This window comes from Homo sapiens, chromosome 11 (genome assembly GCF_000001405.40).
Source record: "Homo sapiens chromosome 11, GRCh38.p14 Primary Assembly".
In the NCBI taxonomy this organism is placed as follows: domain Eukaryota; kingdom Metazoa; phylum Chordata; class Mammalia; order Primates; family Hominidae; genus Homo; species Homo sapiens.
Genome location: NC_000011.10, coordinates 16,650,670 through 16,666,135, shown reverse-complemented (window position 1 = coordinate 16,666,135; position 15,466 = coordinate 16,650,670). Strand labels below are relative to the sequence as shown.

At 37.3% G+C, this 15,466-nt stretch overlaps 1 protein-coding gene and 1 long non-coding RNA gene across 3 annotated transcripts in view; one reads left to right on the top strand and one right to left on the bottom strand.

Annotated features, from left to right (window-relative positions):
• Positions 1 to 15,466, top strand: part of SOX6 (SRY-box transcription factor 6) — a 772,029-nt gene that overhangs the window by 72,342 nt on the left and 684,221 nt on the right. The gene's annotated exons all lie outside the window — the stretch shown is intronic.
• The window catches only part of LOC105376571 (uncharacterized), a 42,807-nt gene continuing 37,866 nt past the window's right edge, over positions 10,526 to 15,466 (bottom strand). For both annotated transcript variants that reach the window (XR_931086.3, XR_931085.3), the window contains one exon: positions 10,526 to 10,996. This is a non-coding gene — a long non-coding RNA (uncharacterized LOC105376571). The remainder of the gene's footprint in view (positions 10,997 to 15,466) is intronic.

Genomic DNA, 15,466 nt, shown 5'->3' with positions numbered 1-15,466 from the left:
AGGAGTTAAGTATTCATTGTAGTCTTTGTAGTCTGGGCTTGTTTGTATCTGTCCATTGTGGGGAGGATTTGCAGGTATTTGAAGGGACTTGGGTGCTATGATTTCAGTTTTTGGTCACTGCATCTGTATCTGCATTAGGTAGCAGTAATGTTCAGCCAAGTAATACTGTGGCTCTTGCAGACTTACAGATGTGCCAACTTGGTGGTCTTAGATAAGATCTAGAAGAATTCCCTGGATTACCAGGCAGAGACACTTGTTCTTTTTCCTTATTTTCTCCCAAACAAACAGTCTCTCTGTGATGAGCTGCTTGGATTTGGGGCAGGGGTCACACAAGCACCCCTGTGGCCACCACCACTGCGACTGCACTGGGTCAAACCTAAAGCTAGCACAGCCCTGGGTCTTGTCCAAGGCCTGCAGCAACCACTGCCTGCCTATTGCCTATGTTTACTGAATGCTCTAGGCCTCTGCAATAAGCAGGAGGTGAAGCCAGCCAGGCTTGTGTCCTTCCCTTCAGGGTAACAAGATCCCCCCAGTCCTGGGCAGGTCTAGAGATGCTGTCCAGGAGCCAAGGCCTGAAGTCAGAAACCTTAGGAATCTACCTGGTGCTGTACTCTACTATGGCTGAACTGGCACCCAAGCCACAAGACAAAGTCCTTCCCACTGTTTTCCCCCCTTAGTCCACAAGCAGAGGAGTTTTTCCCCATGGCACCTCTGCCCTGTGGCACATATTGCCTTGCTACCACAAATGTTCATTCAAGGCCCAAGGTCTCTTCAGTCAGCTTGTGGTGAATGCTACCAGGCCTGGGACTCTCTCTTTAGGTCAGTGGGCTCCCCTTTGGCCCTGAGCAGGTCCAGAAATACCACTGAAGAACAAAGGCTGGGAACTGGGGACCTAAAGAGCCTGCTTGTTGCTCTATCCCACTGGTATTGAAGCTGCAAGACAAAGTCCCCTTTACCGTTCTTTCTCCTTTTCTCAAGCAGAAGGAGTCTCTCCCCATATTCACCACAGCTGGGAATTTGCTGTGTCACACTTGAAGCCAGCAAGTCTCCCAGTTTTACCCAAGGCCCATGGCAAATACTGTCTGGTTACCCCTGCTGATTATTCAGGCCCAAGGGCTCTTTAGTCAGCAGATGATGAATCCTGCCAAGACTGGGTCCTTACCTTCAAGGTATGAGGTTCCCTTCTGGCCCAAGGTGTGTCTAGAAATGTCATCCAAGAGCTAGGGCCTGGAATGGGGGCCTCAGGACTCTCTCTGCTGCCCTATCCTACTGTGACTGAGCTGGTATCCAAGTTGCAAGACAAAGTACTCTTTACCCTTTGCTCTCTTTTCCTCAAGCAGAAGGAAGTAGTCTTTCCTGGACCTGTGGGCTGCACTGCCTGTGGTTGAGGCAGGGGTGGCACAAGCACTCCCTTGGCTTCCCTGGCTGGTGGTTTGCTAGGTCATGTGCCCCGCCGAGTCCACTGGCTCCGAGTCCAGTACAGCACCAGGACATGCCCAGGAATAATAGTCTTTGTGGCCTAGACTGCCTTTCAAGTTTATTTAGGACCCTAGAGGACATTAGCCTGCAGTGGTAAGGCTTGCCAGAACTCAGATTCTGACTGCTGGGATGGGTAATTCTCTTCTGGCTAGTTCTGGTCTAAATGCTCCCTCCACAGGCACCAGCTGAGATCTTCCTGGTGTTGCTTTCTGCTGTGACAGGGCAGCACTGAGTTCCAATGCTAAGTTCCACAATCACTGTGCTGTCTCTCCCCCAAGTGTACAGATTCTTTCTCCACTCCTTGTGGCCTGTGCCAGGGGATGGGGTAGGGGTGGCATCAACAATTCAAGACTGGCTTTTCCACCCTCTTCAGTGACTTTTTCAGTGATATGAAGTTAAAATTAGGTACTGTGATTGCTTATCTGATTTTTGGTTCTTATGAATGTGCTTTTTTTGCATGTGGATAGTTGTTCAATTTGGTGTTCCTGTGGGGAGGATGAAGAGTGGAGGCTTCCTTTGTTTTTTGTTTGTTTGTTTGTTTTTGTTTTGTTTTGTTTTTAGAGATGAGGTCTTGCTATGTTGCCCAGGCTTGTCTTGAACTCTTAGGCTCAAGTGCTACTCCTGCCCTGGCCTCCTAAAAGGCATGAGTCATCACACCTGGCCAGTGGAGTCTTCTATTCACCCATTTTGCTCCATCTACTGACTCTATATTGATCTTAAGTCAATAAAAATCAATAATTGAAATATAAATGTGCTGCATATTAAAATGATTTTGTAAGAATTTGTTAAAGGCTTTAAAGTAAGTATGTTTATGATGTCGAAAATGATCAAAGAAGGTATAACAAAAAGGATTAGAAATTATGAAAACATACCTCGAATTAATTGAACAAGAATAGTTGGTATTAACTTCTTTTTCTAATTGTTTGCTGCTAATATATACAAATCCTTTAGTTTTCAAATATTAACCTTGTATCTTGTGATCTTGCTAAATTCACTTTTTAATTCTCATGATTGGTAGATTTCTTAGACTTTTTAAAAATAGGCTGGGCATGGTGGCTCATGCCTGTAATCCCAGCAGGGCTGAGGTGGGTGGATTTCTTTAGCTCAGGCATTTGAGACCAGCCTGGGGAACATGGTGATACCCCGTATCTGCAAAAAATGCAAAAATTAGCTGAGTATGGTGTCATGCACCTGTAGTCCCAGCCACTTGGGGGGCTGAAGCAGGAGGATCCCTTGAGCCCAGGAGTTTGATGTTGCAGTGAGTTTGTTTGTACCATTGCACTCCAGGTTGGTTGACAAAGTGACACCCTGTCTCAAAAATAAGAAAAAAAAATATAGCCTTACATATTAAAAAAGAAATAGTTTTACTTTTTTAAAAAATGTATATTTTTTCCTTTTATTTTCTATTCTTGCCATATTGTAATGGCTAAGACCTTCAGTGCTACATTGAATAGAATTGGTGAGCCTGAGCATTCACTGCCTTTTTCCTGATCTTTTTTCAATATTTGACTATTATGAATGTTAATTATAACTTCCCCTGCCATACATACCTTTTATAAGATTGAGGAGATTTCCTTCTATTTTTGGTTTGTCCTTTTTCTTTCTTTTTTTTTTTAACTGAGACCCTTGGGAATGGATATTTTTGTTTTGTTAATACTTTTTTTTAGGATGGGTATGGTGGCTTACACGTATAATCCCAAAACTTTGGGGGCCAAGGTGGGAGAATTGCTTGAGGACAGGAATTCACAAGCAGCCTGGGAAACATAGGAGACACTATCTCCCCCGCCTCCCCCAAAAAAGCCAGGCGTGATGGCAAGTGCCTTTAGTCAGATCTACTCAGGAGGCTGAGGTGAGAGGATCACTTGAACCCAGGAGGTTGAGGCTGCAGTGAACCATGATTATGCCACTGCACAACCACCTGGGTGACAGAGTGAGACCCTGTCTGAAAAGAAAAAAAGTTTTTTAAAATTAATTTCTTTTGAATTTTGTCCAATGCTTTTTTTTGCATTTATTAAAATTATATATTTTTCTCCTTTGTTCTGCTAATATGGTATCATTGATTTTTGAATGTTAAACCAATCTTGAATTCTTACTTTGTCATTATTTATTATCCTTTTTAAAAATATTATATTGTTGGATTTGATTTGCCAATGTTTTGTTAAGGATATTTGTATCTGTTTCTATGAGGGATATTCAAACTGCAGAATACCAAAGAAAAATAGAATGTTTTGAAAGAAACCAGAGGAAAAAATCCACCTTATTTACAGAGGAATAAGGTTAAGAATTACATTGAATTCTTTTCACAAACAAGCAGACAGTGGAGAGAAATAGTTTACATTTTGAAAGAAAAAACTCTACCAACTTAGAATTCTTTATCCGGCAAAATTATCCTTCAAAGTGAGGGCAAGATAATGACTTTCTCAGACAAGCAAAAACTGAGGGAATTTGTTGCTAGTCTATCTGCTTTGCAAGAAATTTCAAAAGTTATTTGGAGAGCAAGAAAAGGGTATAGGTCAGAAACTCAGATCTACATAGAGAAAGAAAGAGTGTTACAGAAAGAATGAATGGAGGTAAAAAAATAAAACCTTTTATTTTTCTTATTTTTAGATGATTTAATAGATAACTATTCATTTAACGTAATAGCAACAATGTATTTGGTGAATATAGCTTATAGATAAGTGAAATGAATGACAGCACTGTTACAGGGGACAGAAGAGAGAAATTGGGAATAATCTGCTATAAGGATATCTGAATTTGAAGCAGCATGGAAAACGAGGAGAGAGTATAATCATATAAAATGCTCAATTAGGACTAGAGCCTGTAATCCCTAGAGTCTCCCAGCCCTTTGGGAGGCCAAGGTGGGAGGATCATTTGCAGCTAGGAGTTCAAGACCAGTCTGAGCAACATAGTAAGACCTCCATCTCTACACAAAGTAAAAAAAATTAGCTGCACTTAGTGACTTGTGCCTGTAGTCCTAACTGCATTGGAGACTGAGATGGGAGGATTGCTTGAGTCTAGGAGTTTGAGGCTGTGATGAGCTATGCCCCCGCCACTGTACTTCAGCCTTCGTGACAGAGCAGGACCTTGTCTCAAAAAAGAAAAGAAAAAAAAGACCAGGGAAGGCAGAAAAGAGGGTAAGATTTTTTTTAAAAGAAAAAACAGGTGCAGCACATAGAAAATGGTTACAAATATGGTAGATGTTAATCCAAATACATCAATAATCACTTTAAATGTGATTGTTGTAAATACATCAAGAGACTGACAGAGTGGGTAGAAAAATGACCCAATTATATTTTGTTTACAAAAAGCCCAATTTAAATATTAAGACACAGAAAAATTAAAAGTAAGGAGATAAAGATATACCGTACTAACACAAATCAAAAGAAGCTGTGGTAGCACACTTTATCTTCAGACAAAGCAGACTTCAGAACAAGAAAAACTATCAGGAATAAAGAAGAACATGACATGATAACTGGGTCAGTCTGTAAGAAGACATAAGTATCCTTAATATTTATGTGCCTAATAACAAAGTGTCAAATTGCATTAGGTAAAAACTGATAGAACTACAAGGAGAAATAAACAAATCCACTATTATTGTTGGAATCTTTAACACACATTTATCAGTAAAAGACAGGTTCAGCAGTTAGAAAATTAGCAAGGGTATAGTTGAACTGAATAGCACTCTCAGCTAACTAGATCTAATTGACATTGTCTTAGTCTTTTGAGCTGCTGTAACAAAAATACCAAAAACTGGGTGACTTTTAAACAACAAACATTTATTTCTCGCAATTCTGGGGGACAGAGAAGTCCAGGATCAAGGCACTAGCATATTTGGCATCTGTTGAGGGCCCATTCCTCATACATGGCACCTTCTCTATGTGTCATCATGGTGGAAGGGCAAGGCGGCTGTCTGGGATCTCTTTTATAAGGGTACTAATCCCATCTATAAGAGCTCTGCCTTTATAACCTTCATCTCCTAAAGAGCCCCACCTCTAGTACCATCACCTTGTGGGTTAGTATTTCAACATATGAATTTTGGGGAAACACAACATTGAGATCAAAGCAGATATTTAGAGAATACTTCATTCAATACTAGCAAAGTATGCATTCTTCTCAAGCTCACATAGAGCATTCACCTAGATAGATCACATTCTGGGCATCAAAACCAACAAATTTAGAAAAATAGAAACCTTACGAAACATGCTCTCAGACCACAGTAAAATTAAACTAGAAATAAATAACAGATAGTGGAAAAATTCCAAAATGTTTGGAGATGAAACAACATACTTATAAATAACACATGGGTCAAAGAATCAGTCTCAAGAGAAATTAAAAATATTTTGAGGTAAATTAAAATAAAAATGCAACTTATCAAAATTTGTGGGATGCAGTGAAAACAATTTATAGCATTAAATGCATATATTAAAAAAGAAAGCTCTAAATAAATTATCTGAATTTCCACCTTAGGAAACTGAGAAAGAAGAACAATATAAACCTAAAACAAACAGAAGAAAAGAAATAACAAAAGAGCAGAAATCAATGACATTGAAAATAGGAAAACCGTAGAGAAAATCAATGAAACCAAAGTTGGCTCTTTGAAAAGATTAATAAAATTGATAAGCCTCCAGATAGTCTAACCAAAGAAAAAAGAAGACACACATTACTAACATAAAAAAATGAAAGTGGGACCAACTATACTGATTCCATGAACATTAAAAGGAAAATAAAGGTAATTATAAACACTCAGTGCCCACAAATTTGATAACATATGAAATAGACCAATTCCTTGGAAGATCTAATCTACTAAAACTCACACAAGGAGCAATAGATAATCTGAATAGGCCCCCGTATATAAAAGAAATTGAGTCAATAATAACTTTCCAAATACAAAGTACCAGGCCCAGATGGTTTCACTGGTAAATTCTACCAGTGAAAAAAGAAAAAAATCATACTAATTCTCAACAATCTCTTCCAGAAAATAGAAGCAAAAGGAACACTTCCTAACTTATGCTATGTGGCCAGCACTAAGATGTCACTTCTTCCCAACTTGATCTATGGAGTCAATGCAATCCCAGTCAAAAGCCCACCATTATTTTGTGGCTATCAGGAAACTGATTCTAAAGTTTACATGGAAGGGGAAAAACCCAGAATAGCTAACACATTATTGAAGGAGAATAAGAGAGTTGGAGAGTGACACTACCTGGCTTCATAAACTACCGTAACCAATACAGTATGGTGTTGGCAAAAGAAGAGACAAATAAATCAATGAAACAGGATAGAGAGCTAATAAATAGAACTACACAAATACAATCAACTAATCTTTGGCAAAAGGTGCAAAGGCAATTCAATAAAGAGACAGTCTTTTCAAAAAATGCTGCTGGAACTTGATAACTTGGTATCTACCTGCAAAAAAATGAATTTAGATACCGACCTTATACTTTCCACAAAAATTAACTGATAGTGGATCATAGACTTAAATGTAAAATGCAAAACTGTAAAACTTTTAGATGATATTATCAAAGAAAATCTAGGTGACCTTGGCTCTGGCCGTGATTTTTTAGATACAGCACCAAAAAGCAGAGTCCATGAGAGGAAAATTGTTAAGCTGAACTTTACTAAGATTAAAAACTTTTCTGCAGATGACATTGTTAAGAAAAAAACAAGCCAGAAAGTGGGAGAAAATATTTGTAAAATATGTGTTTGATAAAGATGTGTATCTGAAGCATATAAAGAACTTCTTTTTTTAAAAAAGGAAGTGAAAACAATCATGTTAGCTAAAAGGATAACTACTTATATACTCTTAATGAGTTTTCAATTTAAACATTTTTCCAATTAGAAATAGGATTAATTTTAGGGCTTTCATATGTATTACATTTTGAAGACTTCTTAAAATGTGACATAAAGAAAATGAAAGTCAAGCCAAACTCAGGAGAACATTTTTTTTTTTTTGAGACGGAGTCTCTCTCTGTTGCCCAGGCTGGAGTGCAGTGGCTTGATCTCGGCTCACTGCAAGCTCCGCCTCCCGGGTTCACGCCATTCTCTTGCCTCAGCCTCCCTAGTAGCTGGGACTACAGGTGCCCGCCACCACGCCTGGCTAATTTTTTGTATTTTTAGTAGAGACGGGGTTTCATCGTGTTAGCCAGGATGGTCTCGATCTTCTGACCTCGTGATCTGCCTGCCTTGGCCTCCCAAAGTGCTGGGATTACAGGCGTGAGCCACCGCACCTGGCCAGGAGAACATATTTTAATACATATCACCAACAAAGGATTAGTATAGAACATATTCAATGATATATAAATCTATAAGATAGATGACCACACAATTGAAAAATACGCAAAAGATATGAACTGGTGTTTCACAAAAGAGAAAATATGTGTGGCATATAACCATAAGAAGAGATGCTCTGTCTCACTGGTAATCACGGAAATACCAGGTAGAACCACAGTTAGATCTTTATACCCACTAGATTGCCAAAAGTGAACAACTCTGACCATATAAAGCATTGCAGAGGATGAGAACAAATGGGAAATCTTCTATATTGCTGATGAGAAAGTACATTGTATAGCCACATTGGAAAAATGTTCGGCATTATCTTTAATACTTTTTGATACACAAAGCGATTTTTATGAGATGTTCATATGTATTTATATTAACAAAAACTGGAAACAATCCATCAGGGAAATAATGGAATATAGTATAGCAGAGAAAATGAATAAACTCCAATTATGTGCTATAACATGGATGACTCTTAGAAACATTATACTGAGTAAAAATAGCATGTTGCAGAACCTTCATATAAGGAACCCTTAGAATACAGCAGTAAGAAAACAAACAGCCCAATTAAAAAATGGGCAAAAGATCTGAATAGACATCTCACTAAAGAAGAAATGGCAAAGAAACATGAATAGATGCTCAACATCATATGTCACTAGGGAGTGCAAATTAAAACCACAGTGAGATACCACTATACACTTATTAGGATGGCTAAAAAACAAAAAAGTAAAAAACAAGCCACCTCAACAAACAGCAACACAAAACCTTGACAATGCCAGATGCTGGTGAAGATGTGTCACAACAGGAACTCTCATTCATTGTTCATTGGAATGCAAAATGGTACAGCCAGTTTGGAAAACAGTTTGGCAGTTTCTTACAAAACTAAACATACTCTTACAATATGATCTAGCAATTGCATCCCTGGTTATGTACCCAAATGAGTTGAAGATTTATGTTCATATAAACACATGCACATGAATAACAGCTTTATTCATAATTGCTGAAACTTGGAAGAAATCAAGATATCCTGCAGCAGGTAAATGGATAAACTGTGGCACATCCAGATAATGGAATATTATTGTGTTAAAAATAAATGAGCTATCAAGCCATAAAAATATATGGAGGAAACTTAAATGCATATTACTGAGTGAAAGAAGCCATTCTGCAAAGACTTTATGATTCCAACATATGGCATTTTGGAAAAAGCAAAACTATGGAGACAGTAAAATGATCAGTGGTTGCTAGGGGTTAGGAGGGATGGAGAAATGAATAGGCAAAGCTCAGAGGATTTTTAGGGCAGTGAAGTGATTCTGTATGATACTGTAATGGTGGATACATGACATTAAGCAGTGTGAAAACACATAGAAATGTAGAACATACAGTAAACTCTAATGTAAACTATGGACTTTGGTTTATAATAATATGTCAATATTGGTTCATCAGTTGTAACAAACATACACATTAATGCAAGATGTTAATAATAGGGGAAACTGTGAGCCGGGATAGTGAGATATATGAGAACTTTCTTTCTCGTCTGACCAATTTTCTGTAAACCTAAAACATTTATTTAAAAAAATCTACTAATTTAAAAACAATGTAATAGATTATTTTTTCTTTCATAGTTTTGTAACAATACATAGTAAATTTTTTATTTAAGAAGTGCCAGAAAACAGATATATAGTACAAAATATATACTAACAAAAGCAATTTATGGTCATTGGCTTTTAAAGTAAAATTTTATTTAGACTCTTCTAAACTGTAAGTATAAAAAGTATGAATTAGTGGAAAATTTTGAGATTATATATATGCCATGAACATTATAGTATGTGAAACTCTCTAAATTAAAAGTCTAAAATCTGAAAAATTGTTTAAGATGAGTTTTAGCTTAACCAAGGAGTTAGCTTAACCAAGGAGTTAAGCTAAAATACTGTTTCTGTGAGCGTGGTCCACTATGTATTCATGGACCATAAAGACTCTCCTGGTACGTCATGTACTAATTTTAAAATGTGGCCTGGCACGGTGGCTCATGCCTGTAATCCCAGCACTTTGGGAGGCCGAGGTGGGCGGATCATGAGGTCAGGAGATTGAGACCATCCTGGCCAACATGGTGAAACCCTGTCTCTACTAAAAATACAAACATTAATTGGGCGTGGTGGCATGTGCCTGTAATCCCAGCTACTCTGAAGGCTGAGGCAGGAGAATTGCTGAACCAGGGAGTCGGAGGTTGCAGTGAACTGAGATGGCGTCACTGTATTCCAGCCTGGTGACATAGCAAGACTCCTTCTCAAAAAAAAAAGCAAGACTTCTTTCTTTGTGTCACAGGTGAGTAATATATTTTCCTGGATGCCAATATGGCATTTCAGAATTCTGGAAAAATACAAAAAAGTAATAGGATAAATTCTTTTTTTTTTTAATGAGACAGGGTCTCACTCTGTCACCCAAGTTGGAGTGCAGTGGTGTGATCATAGCTCACTGCAGCCTTGAACTCCTGGGCTCAAGTGATCCTCCTGCCTCAGTCTCTCAAGTAGGTGTATGCCACCACGCCTGGCCAGAAAAAAGTTCTTTACTAGGCATAATCGAGGAACTGATGAGTGAATTAACCAGCTAGTACTATTGATTTCATCTAAAACCTAGAGATAAAAAACATGACAGAGCCAGTGAAGGGGCATGTAAGAAAGATCAGCAATGCTAACATATTTCTAGTACGAGTTTCAGAACAAGAGAATGAAGAAAATTTTGAAAAAGCAATATTCTAAACAAAGATAGCTAAAAATTTTCCAGAATTGAGAAAAGATTTATTCCATATCAAAAGTATACTTTGAGTACTGAGCAGGATAAATAAAAAATAGTTTTAGGACTGTGAATTGCAGAACTCAGGCTCAATTTTTGTTAATCTTGCCTGTAAATGTCTTCAGGCTCCATTTCATTCTTTTGCCCTTTATGTCACCTTTCGTGTTTCCTCTTTTTCCTTAAGCCATGTTGTCTGGATTCCAATCTGGCTCCACTGAGCCTAATCTTCACTTCCCAGTTTCATTTAATAAAGTTGTCAAAATCCTTTCTGGGTGGAATGCTAGGAAGATTGATTTAGCTGGGATCAAGTATGGGCACTTAGTTCTCTTGTGTCTTACCTTTACCAGCCCCTCCCCAAGTTATAGGGAACCAAACGTCAGTCCTTTCACTGCCAGCTCAGGAAGTTGTATCTAATCCCTACCATCTGCATCCTAGAATCCCAGCGTCAATGTGCCTGGAAGAAATAGACAAGTCCCCATGAGGTTTTGGGTGAATTCTCCCTTCACTCAATTCCTATATTCTATAGAAAATTCCTTTCCTTCTCCGACCACCTCTGCTCTTCCTGCCCATCCCCAGAGGTTACAACCTTTTACCTTTACTTAAGGAGCACCTCTTTGTGGTTATCATTCCTGTGTAGGGAGATGGTTTATTATTAGAAAAGGGGAACAGTGATTTGGACAGATATGAATAAGGCCCCTTCAGCAGGGTCTGGTGATCAAATATTTGTCTCATAGTAACTGTCCCTCAACAGGTTCATCATAGTAAAACTGAAGAATATGAGTAATGAAGTAATGAGGTGAACATAATATGATTAATTTTGGACTAGCAGAAGGCTTCTTAGCAATGATAATAGATGCTAGAAGACAATGAAACAGTAACTTTTAAATGCTGAAGGATACAAGTATTAGCCTAAAATTTCTTAAATTAATTTTTAATTATTATGGATATATATCAGCCTAGAATTTTATTCTTAGTTTTATGCCATCAGTCAAGAGTGATGACAGGGCTGAGTGCAGTGGCTCATGTCTATAATCCCAGTGATTTGGGAGGTTGAGATGGGAAGAGTGCTTGAGGCCAGGAGTTTGAACCCAGCCTGGGCAACATAGCAAAACTCTGTCTCTCTTTTAAAAACAAAGCTAGTCATGGTGGCTTCCAGCACTTTGGGAGGTCAAGGGAGAAGTATTGGTTGAGCCCAGGAGTTTGAGACCAGCCTGGGCAACAAGTGAGTCCTTGTCACCACAAACACACACACACAAAATTAGCCAAGCATGGCGGTATGTGCCTGTAGTCCTAGCTACTTGGGAGGCTCAGGTGGGAAGATTGCTTGAGACTGAAAGGTCAAGCCTACAGTGATATGTTGAGCCAAGATGACTCCATTGCACTTCAGCCTGGGTGATACACTGAGAGCCTGTCTCTAAATAAAAAAAGAGAGATGACAATATGTAGCACTTTTGAGACATACAAACTCAAAATCACTTATTATCTATAGACTCTAAAACTATTTAAAAAGTAATATACTCTAGCAAGAAGAAAGATGAACTCAGAGTGAAGGTGTGAAATACAAAAGAAAATGGTTAGAACAAACATTAATAAAATATAGTGGTAAATTTAATAAATTTTGACTTAAAATCAGATTATTTTGTGTTAAATTCATATTTTGTGTTTTTATATAAATATTTTATGTAATATTACATAAATATTATATTATGTTAAAATATAAAGCTCTAAAACTCTGCATTCTTCTTGGTCTTTTGGCTAAGATCAAATGTAAAACTTTAGACAGCAATAGCAAGTTGAAGAAGTTGCATTTCATTTTATTTTTTATTTCAATAATTTTTGGGGAACATGCCTTTTTGTTACATGGATAAGTTACTTACTGGTAATTTCTGAGATTTTGGTGCACCCATCACCCAAGCAGTGTACACTGTACCTAATGTGTAGTGCTTTATCATCCCTCACCCTCCTACCCGCTTCCCCTAGTCCCCAAAGTCCATTGTATAATTCTTATGCCTTTGTATCCTCATAGCTTATTTCCCACTTATGAGTGAAAACATACGATGTTTGGTTTTCCATTCCTGAGTTACTTTATTTAGAATAATGGTCTCCAACTCAGTCCAGTTTGCTGTGAATGCCATCATTTCATTCCTTTTTTGGCTAAGTCGTTATTCCATGGTGTATATTTACCACATTTGCATTTTCTTTATCTACTTGTTGGCTGATGGGTGTTTGGGCTGGTTTCATATTTTTACAATAGCAAATTATGCTGCTATAAATGTGCTCGCAAGTGTCTTTTTCATATAATGACTTCTTTTCCTCTGGGTAGATACCCAATAGTGGGATTGCTGGATCAAATAGTAGATCTACTTTTAGTTCTTTAAGGAATCTCCATACTGTTTTCCATAGTGGTTGTACTAGTTTACATTCCCACCAGCAGTGTGTAAGTGTTCCCTTTTCACTGCATCCATGCCAACATCTATTATTTTTTGAGTTTTTAAAATTATGGTCATTCTTGCAGGAGTAAGGTGGTAGCTCATTGAGGTTTTAATTTGTATTTCCCTGATAATTAGTGATATTGAGCATTTTTTTCATATGTTTTTTGGCCATTTGTGTATCTTCTTTTGAGAATTGTCTATTCACATCCTTAGCCCAGTTTTTGATGTGGTTATTTGTTTCTTTCTTGCTGATTTGTTTGAGTTCTTTGTAGATTCTGGATATCAGTCCTTTGTTGGATGCATAGTTTGTGAATATCTTCTCCTATTCTGTGGGTTGTCTATTGACTCTGCTGGTTATTTCTTTTGCTGCAGTGAAGCTTTTTAGTTTAATTAGGTCCCATCTATTTATTTTTGTTTTTGTTGCATTTGCTTTTGGGTTCTTGGTCATGAACTCTTTGCATAAGTCAATGTCTAGAAGAGTTTTACCAATGTTATCTTCTAGAATTTTTAGGGTTTCAGGTCTTAGATTTAAGTCTTTGATCCACCTGGGGTTGATTTTTGTATAAGGTGAGTGATGAGGATCCAGTTTCATTCCTCTACATGTGGCTTACCAATTATCCCAGCACTATTTGTTAAATAAGGTGTCCTTTGCTCACTTTATGTTTTTGTTTGCTTTGTCAAAGATCAGTTGTCTGTTAAGTACTTGGCTTTATTTCTGGGTTCTCTATTTTGTTTCATTGGTCTATGTACCTATTTTTATACCAGTACCATGCTGTTTTAGTAACTGTAGCCTTGTAGTATAGTTTGAAGTCAGTTAAAGTGATACTTCCATATTTGTTCTTTTTGCTTAGTATTACTTTGGCTATGCAAGGTCTTTTTAGGTTCTACATGAATTTTAAGAGTGTTTTTCCTAGTTCTGTGAAGAATAATGATGGTACTTTGATGCTAATTGCATTGAATCTGTAGCTTGCTTTTGGCTGTATGGTCATTTTCACAGTATTGATTCTATCCATCCGTGAGCATGGAATGTGTTTCCATTGTTTATGTCATTGATAATTTCTTTCAGCAGTGTTTTGTAGTTTTCTTGTAGAGATCTTTCACCTCCTTGGTTAGGTATATTTTTAGGCATATATTTTTTTGCAGCTGTTGTAAAAGGGATTGAATTCTTGATTTGTTTCTCAGCTTAGTAATTGTTGGTATATAGCAGTGCTAATGATTTGTGTACATAAATTTTGTATTCTGAAGCTTTACTTATCAGATCTATGAGCTTTCTGGATGAGTCTTTGGGATTTTCTAGGTATATGATCATATAATCTGTGAACAGTGACAGTGTGACTTCCTCTTTACCAATTTGGATGCCCTTTATTTCTTTCTCTTGTCTGATTGCTCTGGCTAGGACTTCCAGTACTATGTTGAATCGAAGTGGTGAGAGTGGGCATCCTTGTCTTGTTCCAGTTCTCAGGGGGAATGCTTTCAATTTTTCCCTGTTCAGTATAATGTTGGCTGTGGGTTTGTAATAGATGGCTTTTATTACTTTGAGGTAAGTCCCTTCTATGCCAATTTTGCTGAGGGTTGTAATCATAAAGGGATGCTGGATTTTGTCAAATGCTTTTTCTACATCTATTGAGATGATCACATGATTTTTGTTTTAGTTCTGCTTATGTGGTATATCACATTTATTGACTTGCATCTGTCAAAACATCTCTACATTCCTGTTATCAAACCCAGTTGATCATGGTGTATTATCTTTTTGATATGCTGTTGGATTCAGTTAGCTAATATTTTGTTGAGGATTTTTGCATCTATGTTCATCAAGGATATCAGTCTGTAGCTTTCTTTTTTTGTTTTGTTTTTTCCTGGTTTTGGAATTAGGGTGATAATGGCTTCATAGAATGATCTTTAGGGAAGATCCCCTCTTTCTGTATTTTTTTGGGAATAGTTTCGGTAAGGTTGGTACTGATTTTTCTTTGAAAGTCTGATAGAATTTATCTGTGAATTCATTTGGTCCTGGACTTTCTTTTTGTAGGCAGTTTTAAAAATTACTCTTTTAATCTCGCTGTTATTGGTTTGTTCAGTTTCTATTTCTTCATGATTTAATCTAGGAGGGTTGTATATTTCCAGGAATTTATCCATCTCTTCTAAATTTTCTGGTTTGTATGCATAAGGTGTTCATAGTAGCCTTGAATGATCTTTTGCATTTCTTTGATATTGGTTGTAATATCTCTTGTTTCATTTCTAATTGAGCTAATTTGGATCTTCTCTCTTCTTTTCTTGGTTAATCTTGCTAATGGTCTATCAATTTTATTTATCTTTTCAAAGAACCGGCTTTTTGTTTCATTTATCTTTTGTATTTTTTTTTTCTGTTTCAATTTCATTTAGTTCTGCTCTGATCTTGGTTATTTCTTTTCTTCTGGGTTGGGGTTTGGTTTGTCCTTGTTTCTCTAGTTCCTTGAGGTGTGGCCTTAGATTATCTACTTGTGCTCTTTCAGACT